General features: G+C 63.1%; 1 protein-coding gene and 1 long non-coding RNA gene across 14 annotated transcripts, besides 1 other annotated feature; one reads left to right on the top strand and one right to left on the bottom strand.

The window, feature by feature from the left end:
• On the bottom strand, positions 1967 to 11562 carry TNFRSF14 (TNF receptor superfamily member 14). Of its 13 annotated transcripts, none has more exons than XM_047433419.1 (9): positions 11484 to 11562; positions 9063 to 9211; positions 7962 to 8070; positions 7328 to 7453; positions 5818 to 5973; positions 5082 to 5172; positions 3981 to 4123; positions 2900 to 2931; positions 1967 to 2648 (listed from the first exon to the last, which is right to left on the bottom strand). In XM_047433419.1, the coding sequence occupies exons 2-9, from the start codon at positions 9129 to 9131 to the stop codon at positions 2523 to 2525; spliced, it is 852 nt and encodes a 283-aa protein (XP_047289375.1). In that variant the 5' UTR covers positions 9132 to 9211; positions 11484 to 11562; the 3' UTR covers positions 1967 to 2522. The 13 variants fall into 13 exon arrangements, with proteins under 13 accessions (XP_047289375.1, XP_047289374.1, XP_047289370.1 ...); XM_047433418.1 differs by lacking the exon at positions 11484 to 11562 and adding an exon at positions 10379 to 10433; XM_047433414.1 differs by lacking the exon at positions 11484 to 11562 and adding an exon at positions 9535 to 9995.
• On the top strand, positions 8785 to 15876 carry TNFRSF14-AS1 (TNFRSF14 antisense RNA 1). Its single transcript, NR_037844.2, has 7 exons — positions 8785 to 8819; positions 9100 to 11072; positions 11500 to 11695; positions 11982 to 12170; positions 13093 to 14804; positions 15065 to 15223; positions 15522 to 15876. It is a non-coding gene; the product is annotated as a TNFRSF14 antisense RNA 1 (long non-coding RNA).
• Positions 14313 to 15512: an enhancer, noted in NCBI's record as "MED14-independent group 3 enhancer chr1:2481723-2482922 (GRCh37/hg19 assembly coordinates)". NCBI's record gives its function as "activates an origin of replication core promoter dependent on BRD2, BRD4, P300/CBP and CDK7 cofactors, and independent of MED14, by STARR-seq in HCT116 cells {active_cell/tissue: HCT116}" and the evidence as "EXISTENCE:reporter gene assay evidence [ECO:0000049][PMID:35650434]".
• Positions 15877 to 16250: the final 374 nt, after the last annotated feature.

Raw genomic sequence — 16250 nt, 5'->3', positions numbered from 1 at the left:
CCACCATGCCCACCTAGTTTTTGTATTTTTAGTAGAGGCCGGTTTTCACCCTGTTGGCCAGGCTGGTCTCAAACTTCTGACTTCAAATGATCTGCCCGCTTCGGCCTCCCAAAGTGTGGGGATTACAGGCGTGAGCCACCTCGCCCTGCCGAATTTCTGTTCTTGTTAAGCCACCCAGTCTATGGTAGTTTTTATTTTTATAGCAACTTGAATAGAACAAGATAACCTCCCACATTCAACAGCTACTGAGTGGACAAGCTTAAATTAAACAACTGTTTTCAAAGATGTGGCACCGGGCGGCCCAGGACAGCGGTGCCGCTGAAATACTCTCAGGGCCCTGCGCTGCTGGCTGCCTCCCACTTCTCTCCCCTCTCCCTCTGCCGTCCTGTCTTCTTTGCCCAGCCTCTCCTTATTTCTCTCCTCTTCCTTCCTTCCCCCCACCTCCCCATAGCCGGGCTTGGACAAGTCAGACAGACCTCTGAGGTCTCATCCCGGAGCTGCCACTAACCCAGCCTCCCCCGGGACCTGCCCTCACCTCCCAGAGCCCTGGGAGCCAGGGACACTCCCTGGGGCTGAGTGAGTACCGGGGGCTGCACCTGCCACTCCCATGTCCTCGGCCCCACTCCCGCGGATGCAGCAGGTGGCTGGTGACCGAGGCCAGACCTGGGAGCAGCAGCTCCCGCTGGGTGTGATTTCTCTCAGGGAGCCTCATCGTCAACATCATTGATTTCTCCACACTTGGCCTAATCTCATGCATGAAAAGAAGAAAATCAAGGGGTGAGCACACAGCGGCCCCATGAGGGCTCGTGTCCCCAGCCGTCGTCTCTTGGAGCTCTGTCCCCCCAAACCTGGGAGGTGGCCCCAGAGCTTTTCCAGGATCCATGGCTCCTCCCAGGAGGAGGAGCTACAGGTTGGGGCAGGTGGGCTTCCTGCTGTGCCTGGAGCCCAGATGTCAGGTGGCCTCCCTGGGGGAAGGGAAGTTGGGGCCCCTGACCAGGGAGCCCTCTGCCACCCCTGCCCGCTCACTCCATGGCCCCATGCTCCCACCTGCCCCCGGGACTGTGGGCAGAAGGGCAGGCTGTGCTTGGCTCCCATCTAGCACTGGGGGGCAGCCAGGTCTATGGGGTCAGCCTCTGAAAAGGTACCCTGGCAATGACCCTGGACGGTGGTCAGGAGCCGGTCCATGCACAGGGAGGCCCGTGGTCCCTGGAGACCACGCCTCCAGTTGGGGAGAGGGTGACACGGGGTGGGGCAGCCAGAAGTGCTGCTTTCTAGGGGCCCAGGGCTCCACCTGGCCTGCATGGGCCTCTCCACACCCCAGGACGCTAAGCCAAAGCTTCCACAGGACAAGGGGTGGCAGGAGAGGAGTTGGGGTGGGTGGCTCAGCCTGGGGGCTCTGCTGGAGGCAGGTGACAAGGAAAGGAGAGGGGGTAGGGCGGGGTGGAGCGGGCATGCTCGGAGGGGCTATGTGGCCTCCATCCTCATGGCATGGCTGCAGGGTCATTCCCCTCACCGCTTCTAACTTCAGATGTGGGGAAAGGGGCCTCATCCCGACCATTAAATGAATGTGTGGCTCAGAGGCCTGGTGAAGCCCCTGCCAGCGGGACCTGGGCCTGGCGGGTTCCCGGAGCAGGTGGAGAGGGCTGGGCACAGCAGGCGTCACTGATACTGGGGTTTCTCGGTGGACACAGCTGGGAAGTGTAGGTCAGATGTAGATCTGGGGTTTTTACTGGGCAAATCTGACACCATTTGAGCATCAGAATCCACAGCAATAGCCTCGGACGGAGCCACAGAGGTCAGAAGAGCCCACTGAGAGCTCAGCTGTTGGGATATGAAGGGGCGGCCAGGGCTCCTCTCTGGGTGGAGTGAACCCCCAGGCATGACGGGAGGAGGGCAGGGGTCCCCCGAACAGCCCAGCAGCCATCCTGGAACTCCTTGTTCAGCAAGAAACACCGGGAGGTGACAGTTTGAGGAGAAACAAGATATTTACATCCTCCCACAGCATCTCCCCAAATACACTGTTTCATGACAAATAGAAAACAGGAGCCGAATTCAAATCCAATTTAGAAAATCACTTCCGATGTGGTATCCACTAAACACCACACTGCAGCCAACCCAGTCCAGCCTTGGCTGTGAGGCAGTGCCCGGGGCCTGTCCTGCTGAGGCCACAAGAGTCAGACGCGCAGACAGCTGGGGTCTGAAGGGCCCTCTGGGCTGGCCCAGGAGGGCTGGGTGTGTGGTCTGTGAGCGAGGGGCAACTGGCGCTCCTCCTCAGGACTCTGGGGAGCTCAGGCCACAGCAGAACAGAGGCCCCAGGCCCTCACTGGCCCATGGGAATGGCACGTGGCGTCCCCAGCTCTACCCCAGCAGGGGCCCCACCTCTCCCTCCACTGGAGGAGACGGAAGCCAGCCCAGGGCGGAGCCCCCAAGCCTCCGGGCTCCGGTGGTTCCGCCAGGTGGACAGCCTCTTTCAGCAGCCGTCGCTCCAGGTATCTCTGGCGTCGGGGTGCAGAGTCTGTGGGTCAGTGGTTTGGGCTCCTCCCCGTGAATGAGGGTATTGTCTCCTCCACGGCCACCGTGGTGACGTCCGGAGGGGCCTGCAGGGCCTCAATGACTGTGGCCTCACCTTCTGCCTCCTGTCTTTTCCGCTGTGAGCACACGAATCGTGGAGACCCTGCCTGCTCAGGCCCCCCTGGGACTCCAGGTTCTCGGGTTCATTTTACTGCTTTCAGTTTGAGGGGGTGGGTTCTTTCCTGAGCTACCGTGGCTGTACTTGAAAGACTCAGGACCCTCAGAGAACTGGGAGCCCCCACCATGTACACCAGAAACACCAGCCCCAGCGGGGAGAGGGGAGGTGGGAAGGTGGAGGGGGGAGGGAGAGGGGGAGGAGGATCAATACCTGGACGGAGACGATCACCTTGACTACATCACCTGCAATACACAGACACACAGGTCAGGGAGGGGCAGTGTCTGATCAGGGGACACAGGCTCATGGCAATGGTCTCACAGCGGTGGCGGAGGCACAACTCCTGCTTCTCCCTGGGAGACCGTCCCCAAGGGACTGACCCTCTCTGAGAGCAGAGGAGGCCAACTGTGTTGGGACTGCTAGCCCAGCCTGTCCCCAGGAGGCCCAGCATGGGTGATAGGACTGGGGGCGCCCGGCCCACCTCCCCAGCTGAGGCCCCCAAGTGCATAACTAACCCTAATTCAACCGTCATCTATGGGAGGGGAACAAGCGCTTCACAGTGGAGAGGCCCTGCCCACCATACCAGCAGGTGCCCAGTTGGGTGAGACTAAGCTGCTGCCCGGCCTACCCTAGAGCCTGAGGCCCCGAGACCTCCCCGCATTGGAGGCCCCGGGTGAGGATCAGGTGGCTTTGCTGCCGCCTGGCTGGAGGATGGGGCTGACTTTCCCTTCAGACCTCAATGCTTAGAAGCTGCGTCCCCGGGGGCTGTGCACAGGGCTCCCAGGGCCACAGCCGGGTCCACACAGCGGGGTCAGTGCCCAGGAGGCCAGGCACAGGAGGCCAGGCACAGCACAGGTGCCCAGACCAGGGCGGATAGGTGGATGAATGAATGAATGAATGAATGGCCTTACTCTCCTCAATGAGGACAAAGCCTTGTCCCCAGCAGGGCGGCTGTTGACCCTCAGCCCAGAGCTTCTCCCAGCTGAGCAGGGCCTGTCCTGCTCCCCACATCCCACAGGGGGCAGGCAGGAGCACAGGGTCATAGAGTGCGTGGGCAGGGGTGGCTGAGGGCTCCACGGTCAGGGGTCCCACCTTCCCTTCCCCCAGGGAGGCCAGCTGACACCTGGGCTCTGGCCACAGCAGAAAGCCCACCTGCCCCAGCCTGCAGTGGCTGCCCTGGGAGGAGCCGCGGATCCTGGAAAAGCTCTGGGGCCACCTCCCAGGCTTGGGGTGACAGAGCTCCAAGAGGTGACGGCTGGGGACATGAGCCCTGATGGGGCCGCCGTGTGCTCACCCCTTGGCTTTCTTCTTTTCACACATATGATTAGGCCAACTGTGGAGCAAACAATGACGATGACGAGGCTCCCTGAGAGAAACCACCATACCCAGTGGGAGCTGCTGGTCCCAGCTCCGGCCTTCGTCACCAGCCAGCTGCACCTGCGGGAGTGGGGCCGAGGACGTGGGAGAGGCAGGTGCAGCGCCCAGTGTTCACTCAGCCTCAGGGAGCCTCCCTGGCTCCCAGGGCCCCAGGCAGTGAAGACAGGTCCCAGGGAGGCTGGGCTGGTGGCAGCTCCAGGATGAGACCTCAGAGGTCTGTCTGACTTTTCCAAGCTCGGCTATGGGGAGGTGGAGAGAAGGAAGGAGGAGAAGAGAAACAAGGAGAGACTGGGCAAAGGAGACAGGACGGCAGAGGGAGAGGGGAGAGAAGCGGGAGGCAGCCAGCAGTGCAGAGACCCCAGAGCACGGGAGACCAGTGGCAGACAAGGACAGAAGGTAGAGGGAGAGCCAGTGTCGGGACAAAAATGGTTAGAGCTGGAGATGGACAGGACTGAGCTGGGGCCAGAGGACGAGGAGGGCAGAGCAGGATGGAAGGCCCCACCGCCCCCTCCCTGGGGCAGCCATCCCTGCTCCATCCCAGGCTCCGCTGGGGGACCCCAGCTCCTCCCAAGAAGCTCTGAAGTCTCAGGTCAGTTAGGGGCCCAGGGTCAGCATTTGAAGGTGTCCTCCCGAAGGTGGACAAAGAGCAGAGTGTTCACTTTCCCCAACCCCTGAAGCCCAGGGGCCCTCCCATGGCCCTGACATTCAGGGACACCCACAGCCCCAGGGGACAGGGGATCTGGAGGCAGCCTCCCTCTGGGCCTGCTTCTGGGAAGGCCCATCCTGAGCCTCCAGGAAGCTCAGATCTGATGAGGCTTTGTCTGGGCCCATGGAAGGGGTTATCTGGGGCACACAGGCTTCAGCCCTGCAGCTCTCCTGGACGCAGGCATGTGACCAGGGTGCCGCTCAGGGTGGGACCTTCAAGCCTTTCTGCTGGAGAAGACGGTCATCTCCCAGGGAAGCAACGTGGAGCCCCCTCCCCAGGGCACAGAGCTGGGCCTCCCCCGGGTTCACTTACTTGGTCTGGTGCTGACATTCCTCCAGGGTCCCATTGGGAGAGAAGGTCCCCGGGGGGCAGTTCTGACACAGGGTGTCCTGACTCTCGGTGCCTGAGAAGAGAGGGACGGACAGAGGGGGCTGAGGGCACCAGGCCAGGAGGGGGCTGGCGGCTAGGGACTGCTTGTCTGTGAGCTTCTAGACCTGGGTGCTCTACGGGTGATGGGAGGACCAGCGGGGAGGGGCAGGCTCCCTGTCCAGAGTCTTGGAGGTGGGGCCTGGGGTGGTGGCTCTGGCTGTCCCGGCCTTGAGTAGCTGGGATCTCATGAGTCCGGGAGTCCCTCTGTGTCCACATCCTGCAGTGCTGCGGGGGCTGCCCGGCCAGATGCAGGCCAGGGCTGGACACTTACTCCTCCTAGACTTAGCTTGAACAGTGGCATTAACCATGGTCACTCCCATAAACCCAGGCTCCAGACCAGGGGCCCGAGAGCGAGGCCTGGGGACTGGGAAGTCCCAGAACCCCGAGGTGGAGCAACCTGGGGTGGCCCTTCCTTGCCCCTTCCCCTGCCTCCATCACCTGTTCCCCACTGGGCTGCTTCCAGGACAGGGCTGAAGTGGGTGGGCCTGGGGCTGGCCAAGGTTCTGTCTCACCAGGGCCCCTGGGCAGGCCATGCCGTCGAGGAAACCTGGGGCTCCAGACAGCGGGGCACTGGGGACCAGGGTGGAAATGGGAGGGGTGTCCGCCACCCACCGCTTACCTCCCTTCTGCACCCTCTGGCCCGGGCTGGAGGTGGCGTAAGCGCGGCACGCGGCGCAGTGGTCCCCGTCCTGGACGATGCAGAAGTGGCCTGGGCTGCAGCCACACACGGCGTTCTCTGTCCTGGAGCAGTTCCGGCTCGCGCGCAGGCCCATGGCTGGAGTCCAAGAGGAGGGGCTGAGAGGGGTACGTGGAGGCCGGGACACCATCCACGGGCCAGGACAGCATCCACAGGCCAAGGACTGCTGCCAGGGCGCCCTGCCAGGCTGAACCCCTGGCTCAGCCAAACGAGGTGCCCAGAGGTACCCAGCATGGAGGACCTGAGGCCGGGAGGGACACCAAGGGACGGCAGAGCTGCGTGTGGGACGAGGGCTTGCAGGAAGGTCCTGGGAGGGCTTCGTTGATGGGAGAAACCAGCCTTCTGCCCAGATGGGCAGGACGCCGAGCTTGCACTGTCAGTTCCAGGGCAGGGTCCCGCAGGCAGGTCCTCGCCCCACGTGCCCACCCAGACACCCACCCCGCAAACGGGTTTCCCATCTGTGCAAACCAGGCCATTCCAATGGCAGAGGCAGGTAGGGTGAGAGCCCCACTTCTTCAGGTACTGGTGGAGGTGGGGTACAAGCTGGGCCTGGGCCCCTCCTGAGGGCAGCCTCACCTGCCACCTGTGCCCCCACATCCTCAGCCCAAGTAGACAGGTGCTTTCACAAGAGGGGAGGGGCATGGAACTGGGCATGCAGGTTGAGGTGTGAGCCCCAAATCCCAGCCTACATGCATGAACCCCCAAAGCACTCCAGCTTCCTCTTCTGTTCATGGCTAGCCCACCTGCCCTGTGCCTCCCTGTAGGCTCAGGCCCTGCCCCCAGGTGTGCCGTCAGCCCTGTCCCGCAGGTGCAGTCCTGCCTGGCCGCAGGGAGCACTGGCCATGCTGAGCCTGGCATGAGGCTCCAAGGGGACAGAGCCGTTGGCCGCATGGACAGGCTCTGCGCTCAGTGACTCAAAGGCCACCTCTGGGTCTGGTTCCCCTTTCTGTCTGCCTGGACTCAGGTGGGCACCAGCCTCCAGGTGACCTCTTCCCCTGAGGTCACAGGGGGAACCAATATCTGGAGGAGAAAGGGACAAGAAGCCCTGTGGGGAAGCAGCAGGCCCGAGTGCCGGCCGGAGAGTCCCAGCACCATCCCATTCCACTTTGCAGCTAGGGACGTGGGCACAGGAGAGGTCTGGGCACCCACCCCGGGCACCAGAGGAGCCAAGGACGAGGGATAAGGGTCAGTCGCCAAGCTCAGGATGGCCCACCTGGCGGTGACAAAGTGAGAGGTGAGACAGAGGTGGACGGGGGCCGGAGGCTGACCTCAAGGCGTCCCCTGCAGGGTGCATCCATGGAGATGGGGTTGGGACCTGGCCTGGGGCAGCCGGGGCCTTCCTGGGGCACTGTGGCCATGGAGAGAGGGTGCAGGGTGCGGGGGCATCCAGGCTGCCCAAGCGGAGGCTGGGCCGGCTGTGCTGGCCTCTTACCTGGGTCACACATTTGGCACTGCAGACACTTGCTTAGGCCATTGAGGTGGGCAATGTAGGTGCCTGGAGGGCAGGGTTCACACACTGTGCCCGTCAGCTCCCCGCAGGCCTCCTTCACACGATAACCTGCCGCCCAGAGAGTGGGAACTTCGCAAGTCTGCGGGAGGCCCCTTCGGGAGCCCACCCATCACTCCACCCGCGCCCAGAGCCCAAGCAGGGAGACACCAGCTAAGGGGACTCAAATGGCCCATGAGCCCCACGGGACACAGCAGCCCCATCAGCCATGAGCAGAGCTGCTCTGGGGAAAATCGGAAAGTTCTGGAAGCACATGGGGCCTCCTGGGACACCTGGCCCGGCTCTGGTATGTGCCCCCGAGCCCATGTCTCTGGCCACGGTGGGCCAGCCACGTCTCTCAGACCCACCCCCTGTGCAGTGTGACTGTGAGGGTCCCCCAGGGTGAAGAGTCCAAGCTGCTGGCCTGGGGGTTCTGCCCTCACTGTCTGCACACCTAGCCCCAGGGCTTCATCACACCCATGGCTGTGGGGGCAGAGAACACAGGGGTGTCTGGGGCAGAAGGGGGCAAGAGTGTCTGCCCTCGGCCCACAGAGCTGGCCCGCCAAAGGGCTGCACCTACCTGGACTGCACTTGGGGCAGCACTCGGAGCCCACTGGGTACTCGTCCTCCTTGCAGGACGGCAGAGCTGGGGCGTAGCAGGGGGCTCCCAGGAAGGTGAGATACAGCACCTAAGGGGGTCAGGACAGGCATTGGGAGATGCCCTGGCTGCCCTGTGGGCTCTGCCAGGCTTGGCCCCACAGCCTGAATCTCCCTCTGTGCAATGGGGAGGAGCGGCAGTGCCTGGTAGAGAGGACAGAAGCGGGCCCCAGGCCAGGCTCATGGAACAACCTTGCCGACCGCTGGAGCCCGGGATAGGGTGGGGACCGCCCCTCCTCCAGCCCTGATGACGCTGCCTGGCAGCGCGGAGCCCTGGGAACTGGAACTCTGCCCTCGCCAGGGACCCCACACCCCACACCTGGGAGCATTGAGCCCACTGGGCAGACAACCTGCCGGCCCCCCTGCTGGCCTAGGTTGGACCTGCTGACCCCTGAAGAGCCAGCAGGGGCAGCCAGGGATGGGCCCCAGAGGCTCACAAGCCAGACAGTGGGTGACAGGCTGATCAGGGCCACATCGGGGAGGGTGGCTCTGCCGTGGCCTCGTTCCTGGGCTGGCTGATGGGCAGTCGGGGGCCCCTGATGGGGATAGTGGCTGGACAGGCAGGAGTGCCACATGAGCATGGAGAGTATCCCCACCCCACCCACCTGGGTCCAGCCCCCTGCTGCACACTGATCTTATCACCTGTCACCAAGGTCAGGGCTGCCGGGGAGTTGGGTCACCTGCTCGAGGGCCCCGCCCAGAGACGCCCAGAGACACCCAGCCCCCAGAAGTGCCCACATCCGGCCAAATGGGGGCTCACCAGCTGCCCGTGGACGGAGTGGTGAGTGGGGGACACACGCAGGAGGAGGTCTGCTGGGTAGGGCTGTGGCTCTGCTGCTCACCCCACTGTGGTGAGCCCAGTGCTGGGGGTCTGGGTTGACCCGAGAGCCCCAGGCAGCAGGGGACGGGCTGGACGCCGGAGCCAGCAACGGCCAGGACAGGGGCATGGGGAAGAGATCTGTGGGAGGCCCTGGGGTCAGAACTGGGATCTGCGAGCAGACGGAGAGGAGGCTCGGGGGCTCACCAGCCTCAAGACGTCGGTTTTGGGGGTGGATCTCCAGGGAGGAGGCCCCCAGTCTCCAGGAGGCTCCATGCCTCAGGCTCAGACCGGCAGCTCGGGAACCCAGCTAGCAGGATGAACTCCAGCAGAGGAACTCAGCGCCATTGCTGCGGCTGTGGGCCAGAAGAGAAAGAGAAAGAGAAAGAGAATCCGCCTCGGTGTGACAAGCTGTGCCTCAGAACCCGAGCAGCAGGAGAGTGGGCAGCAGGGGGTGTCTGGCAGCAGAGAGGGGCTCAGGCCTGCTGGGTGGAGCGGCGCTGGGGGACACAGGTGGGCCCTGCGGGAGGCAGGAGCTGTCCAGGCAAAGCCGAGGGGAAGGGCCGGTATGAAGGAGGCGCCCGATGGGAGGGGCGAGTTCTCCCCCTGCACCATTCCAGTCCACTCCGGGTTTCCTGTAGAAGGGGGAGCCCCCCAAAGTCCATCTGTGTTTCCCCACCTCACTCACACACTCAGGGACCCTCGGCTGCTCCCCGGGGCGCTGACTGACATTTTTGCCGAATAAAGGGGCCCTGTGGGTTTCCTGTTCCCATCTCAGCTTCTGCTGAACAGGGTAAACTTCCCTTCCGAATAAAACCACCAGAATGCGGTCTGGCCAATTTCAGTCATAGACCCACCAGGCCTGTGTCCCTGCGTGAGGGGGTGGGAAAAGCCCAGAGTGCCCCTACCCGTCCCCTGGGAGGGGTGGAAGGGCAGCTCTTGCTCCCCCTGCAGAGACGCTGCGCGGACTGGGAAGGCTGCCAGCCTCGCCCGGTCTCCCTGTGGACCCTGCCCTGACCCCACCCCAGCTTCCTGGCTCCCTGCACCCCACTGGGCTTCCCTGCCCCACAGAGCCTGGTGGTAGGGAGACCTCCGGATGGAGACAGCCCACAGTCCCGGAGCCCCAAGGCAGGCACCAGTGAGTCCCTCGTGACGGCCTCGCTCCCTGCATCACATGGAACCTCGTGACCCACGTGACGACGCCAGTGCCCCCGTGGCCCCTTCCTGCTGCTGGACGTGATGCAGTCAATGGAAGCCCAGGTCTGTCACGCACCGCCTGTGCTTGCCCAGAGCAGGTCCCAGTCACCCCCTCTGGCACCGCCTGCTGCACACCAGGAACCCCCACCTCCAGCAAGCCCATCTGCCAGACGCCTGGCCCAGGACCGCCCCCTGCCCCTCGACTGCCCCCTGCCCCTCCTGGTCCTGACTTCAGCCAGGTGACCCCCTCCAGGGTCCAGCCCTGGCCCCTGGGGGACTCAGTGGCATCTGGTGGAAAGGACCTTGGGGATTGCGCCCACCCTCACCTGCAGGAGAGTTGGCAGGGTGGCCAGCCACAGGAATCTGTGGCAGGAGCCCGGGGACCTGCACCCCAACTAGAAAGTGTGCAGCCCTGCAGGCCGGCCCTGGAGAGGGAGCAGGCAGGGGTGAAGTTAGGCCGGCTGTGGTGTGCGACACCGTCCTGTGGGGCCAAGCGTCCCGAGCTCCAGAGGCAGGTGCACTCCTGGCCAGCATCCAGGGTGGACGAGCCCAGACCCCAATACTCTGAGGCAGGGTGGGGGACCAGGTGGCACCCAGTGGAGGAAAAGCCCCCAAGAGACACGCAGGAGCATGGACTCCCACCCCACAGCTGGAGCCTGGGAGAGGAGCCCCATCTGCTGTTTCCCTGGTGCACTCACATCCTGGCCCTCAGCGCCCCCTGCCAGGAATGTCCCCCACATGCAGAGCCATGTGGGTCTTGCAAGGAAGAAGAAGGGGGCCCCTTGCATCCTCCACTCCCGGGGGCCCCAGGAGGGCATGGGGGCTCCAGGGTGCAGGGACAGCACGTTCCCTCACCAACTCCCCAAGAACGCCCAACCTCCAAGAGCAGACACAGCGCCTACACCTGCCGGTACGGGGCTCCAACCCCACTCTCTCAGATACGTCCTCCAGAGTCGTCTCATCCACCCCACCCTGGGGAGGAGGGAAACTGAGGCATGGCAAGAGACAAGACTAACACAGGCATCAGTGAGACTCAGCCCCTCCTGCCCCTTCCTCCATGCCCCTCCTACCCCGACTTCAGCTCCCACACCAAGGCCCCAAGCCTGACATAGGGCCCCAGGTGCCAGGCCTCAAGGGGGCTGAAGGGAGCCCATCTGCCCCACCGAGGGCACAGACAGTGCCAGGTCTTTGCTGAAATGTCACCTCTTCCTTGAGGCCTTCTCTGATTGCTGAGTAAGCCCTGTCCCCGCTCCCTGCTCCCCGTATCCGCCCGCCTCGGCCCTCCGTCCCTTTTCTCCCTTCTCTGTGGCCTGCCCGCTCTCACAGAATGCAGACTCCAGGGGTCCAGGGTGTTACCTCCCGGGCAGCAGGAGGAAATGTCCTGGGCTCCCCACCCAGCGCTCAGCGCCCCCCGCTAAGTACAGCACTCACTCCTTCATCCATTCAGCGTGGGCTCTCCCGGCACCAGCACCGCCAGGCCCTGTGCAGGACCCCAGGGTCATCAGGAAGGAAATGAGGCAGCCCAAGGAGGCGGGAGACGGGGCCCTACCCAGCACCCAGCCATCTGCATTGACACGGCTGCCCGCAGGATATCACTGCCCCCATCCCGGGGCCCACCATTACCAGCAGGGAGAGGGAGGCAGGTGAGCACCCCGAGCCCCACGCCTCCTGTCGCGGGGACTCCCCAGACCCAATGCTGTGCCAGTGCAGGCCAGGCAGGGGGCTGAGGCCGAGGCCTGGTCATTGCCATCCTGGTCACGATCTGGTGAAGGATTTGAGTCCAGAAGCCAAACGTCTACAGTCGTGTGGTGCGGACACTCAGGATGGACTGCCCAGGCCATGGGGGGCTCTGAGGGATGAAGAGGAAACTGCGGGGGCGAGGTGGGCTGCGCGTCTCTGAGAAAGTGTGTGAGTTGAGTGCTGCTGCAGAGGGAAGCTGGGGTCCACCGCTGGTGAGCGGGGAGGGGACGGGACACAGAACCGGCCGTGGCCCACCCCGAGACGGAGGCGCAGACACCAGGCCCGTTCTGTGCTCTGGAGGCTTTGGGCAGCTGTCAGGCTAGTGGACGGTGTGCAGAGCAGATGGAGGCGTGAGGAGGCGGCTCCGGGGTCACCTAGGTGGGCAGCCCTCACAGGGGAGGCCGAGGGGGAGGGCAGGAGGGCGGAGCAGGCGGCGGTGCAGGAGGCCCGTGGAACTTGGAGGGCTCTGTGTCCAGCTCTCATGGCCCAGGGCGGGGGCAGCTCCAAGGCCTCGGGCTTGGGGACAGAAGGGAGAGGACTTGGGGGTTGGGGGTGGTCAGAGCATTGTGGGAGGGATCTGGGGCAGCTGGGGCTTCCCAGAGGGTGAGGTGTCTGCTGGGAATTGGGGCAGCCCCAGGCGTCCCCAGGCCTCCAGCCCAGCCCCGGTTCCTCCACGCTGCAGGCCAGGGTATCAATTGCCTGCTGGGAAACCTCAGGGTGCCTCTGTCTCAAGTGCCTGCCCCTGACACTCCTGGCCCTGGGCTCCCCCCGCCTCCCCGTCTGTCTGCTTTCCCCACCTCCTCCCCTCCCCTGGCCGTCTTTCTGACTCGGGGATGGCGTCACCTCTCACCCCAAATCAGGACCCTGGGCCCCAGCTCTGTTCCCCACCTCACCTTCCTTGTGACCAACTCCTGACCTCCCGTGGGCTTGGGGTGTCTGTGGCCGGAACATTCCTCAGACCCTCTCCTCCAGCCCCACTCTGTCCCACCACCCAGGCATCCCCCACCTGGGTTCCAGCCCTCCAAGGGGCCCCACGCTCTGTGTCCATGATCAGGACACTCACACGCACCCAGCTCGCGCCCTTCCTTCCAGACATTCGAGCTCTGGAAGCTCACAGTCACCCTAGCTTAGTGCACAGCCACAGGCCAGGCACCTTCAACATCCCCACCTTCCAGGTGAGGAAACCGAGGCACCGAGAGCTGGGGGCCAGGCCAGGGGGTCTCCCTGGGGGGAGCAGAGGAGTGTCGGACCTCAGAAGAGGCTCTGGGGGTCTGAGCCGCCACCGGGCGCTGCCTTCCAGGTTCAGCAGGGACAGAGCTCAGGGGGAAGGCACCTCCCGTCCTGGTTCAATACATGGACCCCTGACCCTGGGAAAGGGACTGAGCCAGGGGAGGCCTCAGGTCACTGCACCATGAAGTTGTGGGGAGCTGCGGGGGCCTCTGGGCTCCGAGCTGGGCAGGCACAGCGTGGGGACCACGTGCCGAGGGGAAGAAGCGTGCCAGGGTGGACGTCTCAGTGCACACGCAGGAACATGCAACGGCTGAGCCAGCCCAGAGAGGCAGCGGAGCGTGTGCGGGGCGGCCGGCGGAGGAGCAGCAGGATCCCAGGCGGGAGCGCACGGCCTTTTCGGAGGCAGGTTCCAGGACAATACTAAGCGTTTACATCATTGCACTATTTGATCCAGGAGGTCCCACTGTGGCGTTTCATCGATAAACGCACATGCGAGGTGGAGGGTGGCTGGTGTGGAATGTGCCCGGCAGCCTTCATAGCAAAGGAGAATTCTAGAACCAACCGAAGTGCCCCTCTGAAGGGAGCTGGTCCCGTCCGTTCCAGCCGCCGTGGAGTAACACAGCCAGCAGTTTCCCTCCTGCCACGAAAGCTCGAGACTGAAACTCAGGATGAACTGTTTTCAGCCCGGGTCACCCCAGCCCTGGGGTGGAGGCCCATTGAGGATGGCCGAGCAGGGGCGGGCATCCAGGCAGGTCCAGCAGTCCTGGCGGGCTGAGGAGAAGGAGGTCAGTGCTCAGGGAGACATCCGCAGAGGGACCTGGCAGGCAGAGCTCCAGAAGGGAGGGAACTGCACAGACAGAAAGCTCCAGAAGGCTGCCTGAGGGCCTCTGAGGCCTCCGGAGTCAGGCGCCATGGATGTGGAAGGTGGACTCTTCAGCATGGATGGGACCCTAGGGGGCTGTGGACCCCCGGCCCCTGGGACTCACAGGTGGGAGACAGGAGTTCCAACCGCCAGGGGGAGAGTCCTGGAGGATCCTGGGCTGTTGGCAGCCACCCAGCAGGGCCCGTCCTGGGAGTGGGGCTGGACTCTTCCTGCAGGAAAGGCTGGGCTGGACCTGCTCTGAGAGGCTTCAGAACCAGCCACACGAAGACCAAAGTGAAGAGCAAGGAGCTGAACTCCACGCAGAACACAGCGCAGCGTCCTTTAAAGGAAGGCCAAAAACAACCCAACAAAAATGCCAGGTGATCAAAGCGGTCACAGCACAATGTCCACATCCAACGAGAAATTGCTACTACGTCCAGACGCAGGGAAAGGTGGCCGTGGGAACGTGAGTCAGCAGCAACAGGCCCAGAAGGGCAGCCACGGTGGACTTGTCAGACGTGGACCCTGAAATGACAATCACAGCATGATTTCAGGCAGGAGCCTGAAATGGTACAGCTTTGGACATCGGTTTGGCAAATTCTTTTAGAGAGAAACACACACCTTCCCTAGGACCCAGCAACTCCACTCCTAATAACCAAGTGAAATGGAAGGAGTTGTCCTCAGCAAAACGTGTGTGCGGAAGTTCACAGTCACTTTCTCGGTGATAACCAAGAGCTGGAAACCACTGCAACACCCACCAGCAGGTGAACGGATTAACACACTGGGCTAGGGCCACACAATGAGATGCTCCGTGGCAACACAAAATGAACCGTGGACACACACTGCACGGCGGATGAATATGCAGACATCAGGCCACGTGAAGGGAGCCAGGCCCCGAGGCGCCACGCTTTGTGATTCAGGTGAAATTCTGGGACAGGCAGATCTAACCTGCAGGGAGAGAGAGGTCAAGGATGATGGGGCCAGGGCTGGGGAGGGGTTGGGAAGGGGCTCATGTTGCTGGGGTGTCAAAACAAAGCAAAGGGCCACAGACTTGGGGGCTCAAGAAATGGAAACACAATGGTGTCATGGTTCTGGGGGCTGGAAGTCCAAGATGCAGGGGCAGGTGGGGTTGGTTCCCTCCTGGGCCTGCAGATGGTACCTGCTCCCTATGTCCTCACAGGGTGGTCCCTCTGCGCCCAAGACCCGGCTGCCTCCTCCTCTTCCTGGCTGCAGGGAGTGCTTGTGTCTGAAGAACGCCAGGCTGGTGTCCCCAGAGGGCGGCTGGAGGGGCTCAGAAACCATTTTCACCTTCTGTCTCCTCCATGTCTGCACTGTTTGGGTTTGTACCCGCCTGTGTCGCTTTTGCACGGGAAGTGAGATGGAGAGACACGTGAACCACCATTGCTGGGGTTCCAGCATGGGGCCCCAGGGGACCCATGGCTTTCCCAGAAGGAAGCTCTGCCATTGGACAGCCGGTCTCAGGCTGCTGCACAGGCCCCTCCCCGCCCTCAGCCCTGGCCTGCGGGAATCAGGAAAGGGTGGGGTCCAGCTGCATTGCGAATGGACTAAAGCCACTGATTTGCACACTTGCCAATGGCTGAAATGGTCAATAAAACGTCATGTACCTTTTGCCACAGGAAAGAAAGCACGCAGCCAAAGAGCGCAAAGAGGCTCAGAGGAGGCCCGGGTGCCCTGGAGAGACGCTGCGTCCTGACGACACAGCATCCCTGTCCCGCAGCGGAGATTTCCCAGATGAAGGATTCCCCGGCGGGAGACAGGGCCCTGCACACAGGTCCTCTGCCACGCTGCTCACCATGCCTGTGTGTTATCTCCCCATGAAAAGTCACCTAGGCCGAGCATGGTGGCTCACGCCTGTAATCCCAGCACTTTGGGAGGTGGAGGCGTGCGGATCATCTGAGATCAGGAGTTTGAGACCATCCTGAGTAACATGGTGAAACCCCGTCTCTAGGAAGAATACAAAAATTAACTGGGCATGGTGTCAGGTGCCTTGTAATCCCAGCTACTCGGGAGGCTGAGGCGGGAGAATCGCTTGAACCTGGGTGGCGGAGGTTGCAGTCACAGCGTTTGCAGCGAAGCGGCTCCCAGAGCTGGGAGGAAAGCCCCGCCTGCAGCCAAGCTCCTGCTCCACCACCCCAGGTGCAGAGGGGCTGCCCCAGGCGGGGGACTCCAACTCCCTCTCAGCCAGGGCCAGGCCTGTGGGGTCCGGGCCTTCTCAGGGCCGAGGCCTCACTGCCCGAGCACGGGCCCTGCCTGCGGCAGTTACGCGGATGGTTCCTTTTTAAACGCAGGAGCTGCCGTCATCTTCTCTCACTCAGTGGTCATCACGGAAAGTGAAAACGACGGTG

Source organism: Homo sapiens, chromosome 1 (genome assembly GCF_000001405.40).
Source record: "Homo sapiens chromosome 1, GRCh38.p14 Primary Assembly".
In the NCBI taxonomy this organism is placed as follows: Eukaryota; Metazoa; Chordata; class Mammalia; order Primates; family Hominidae; genus Homo; species Homo sapiens.
Note: the sequence above shows the minus strand (reverse complement) of the source record. Positions and strands in the feature narration are given on the sequence as shown.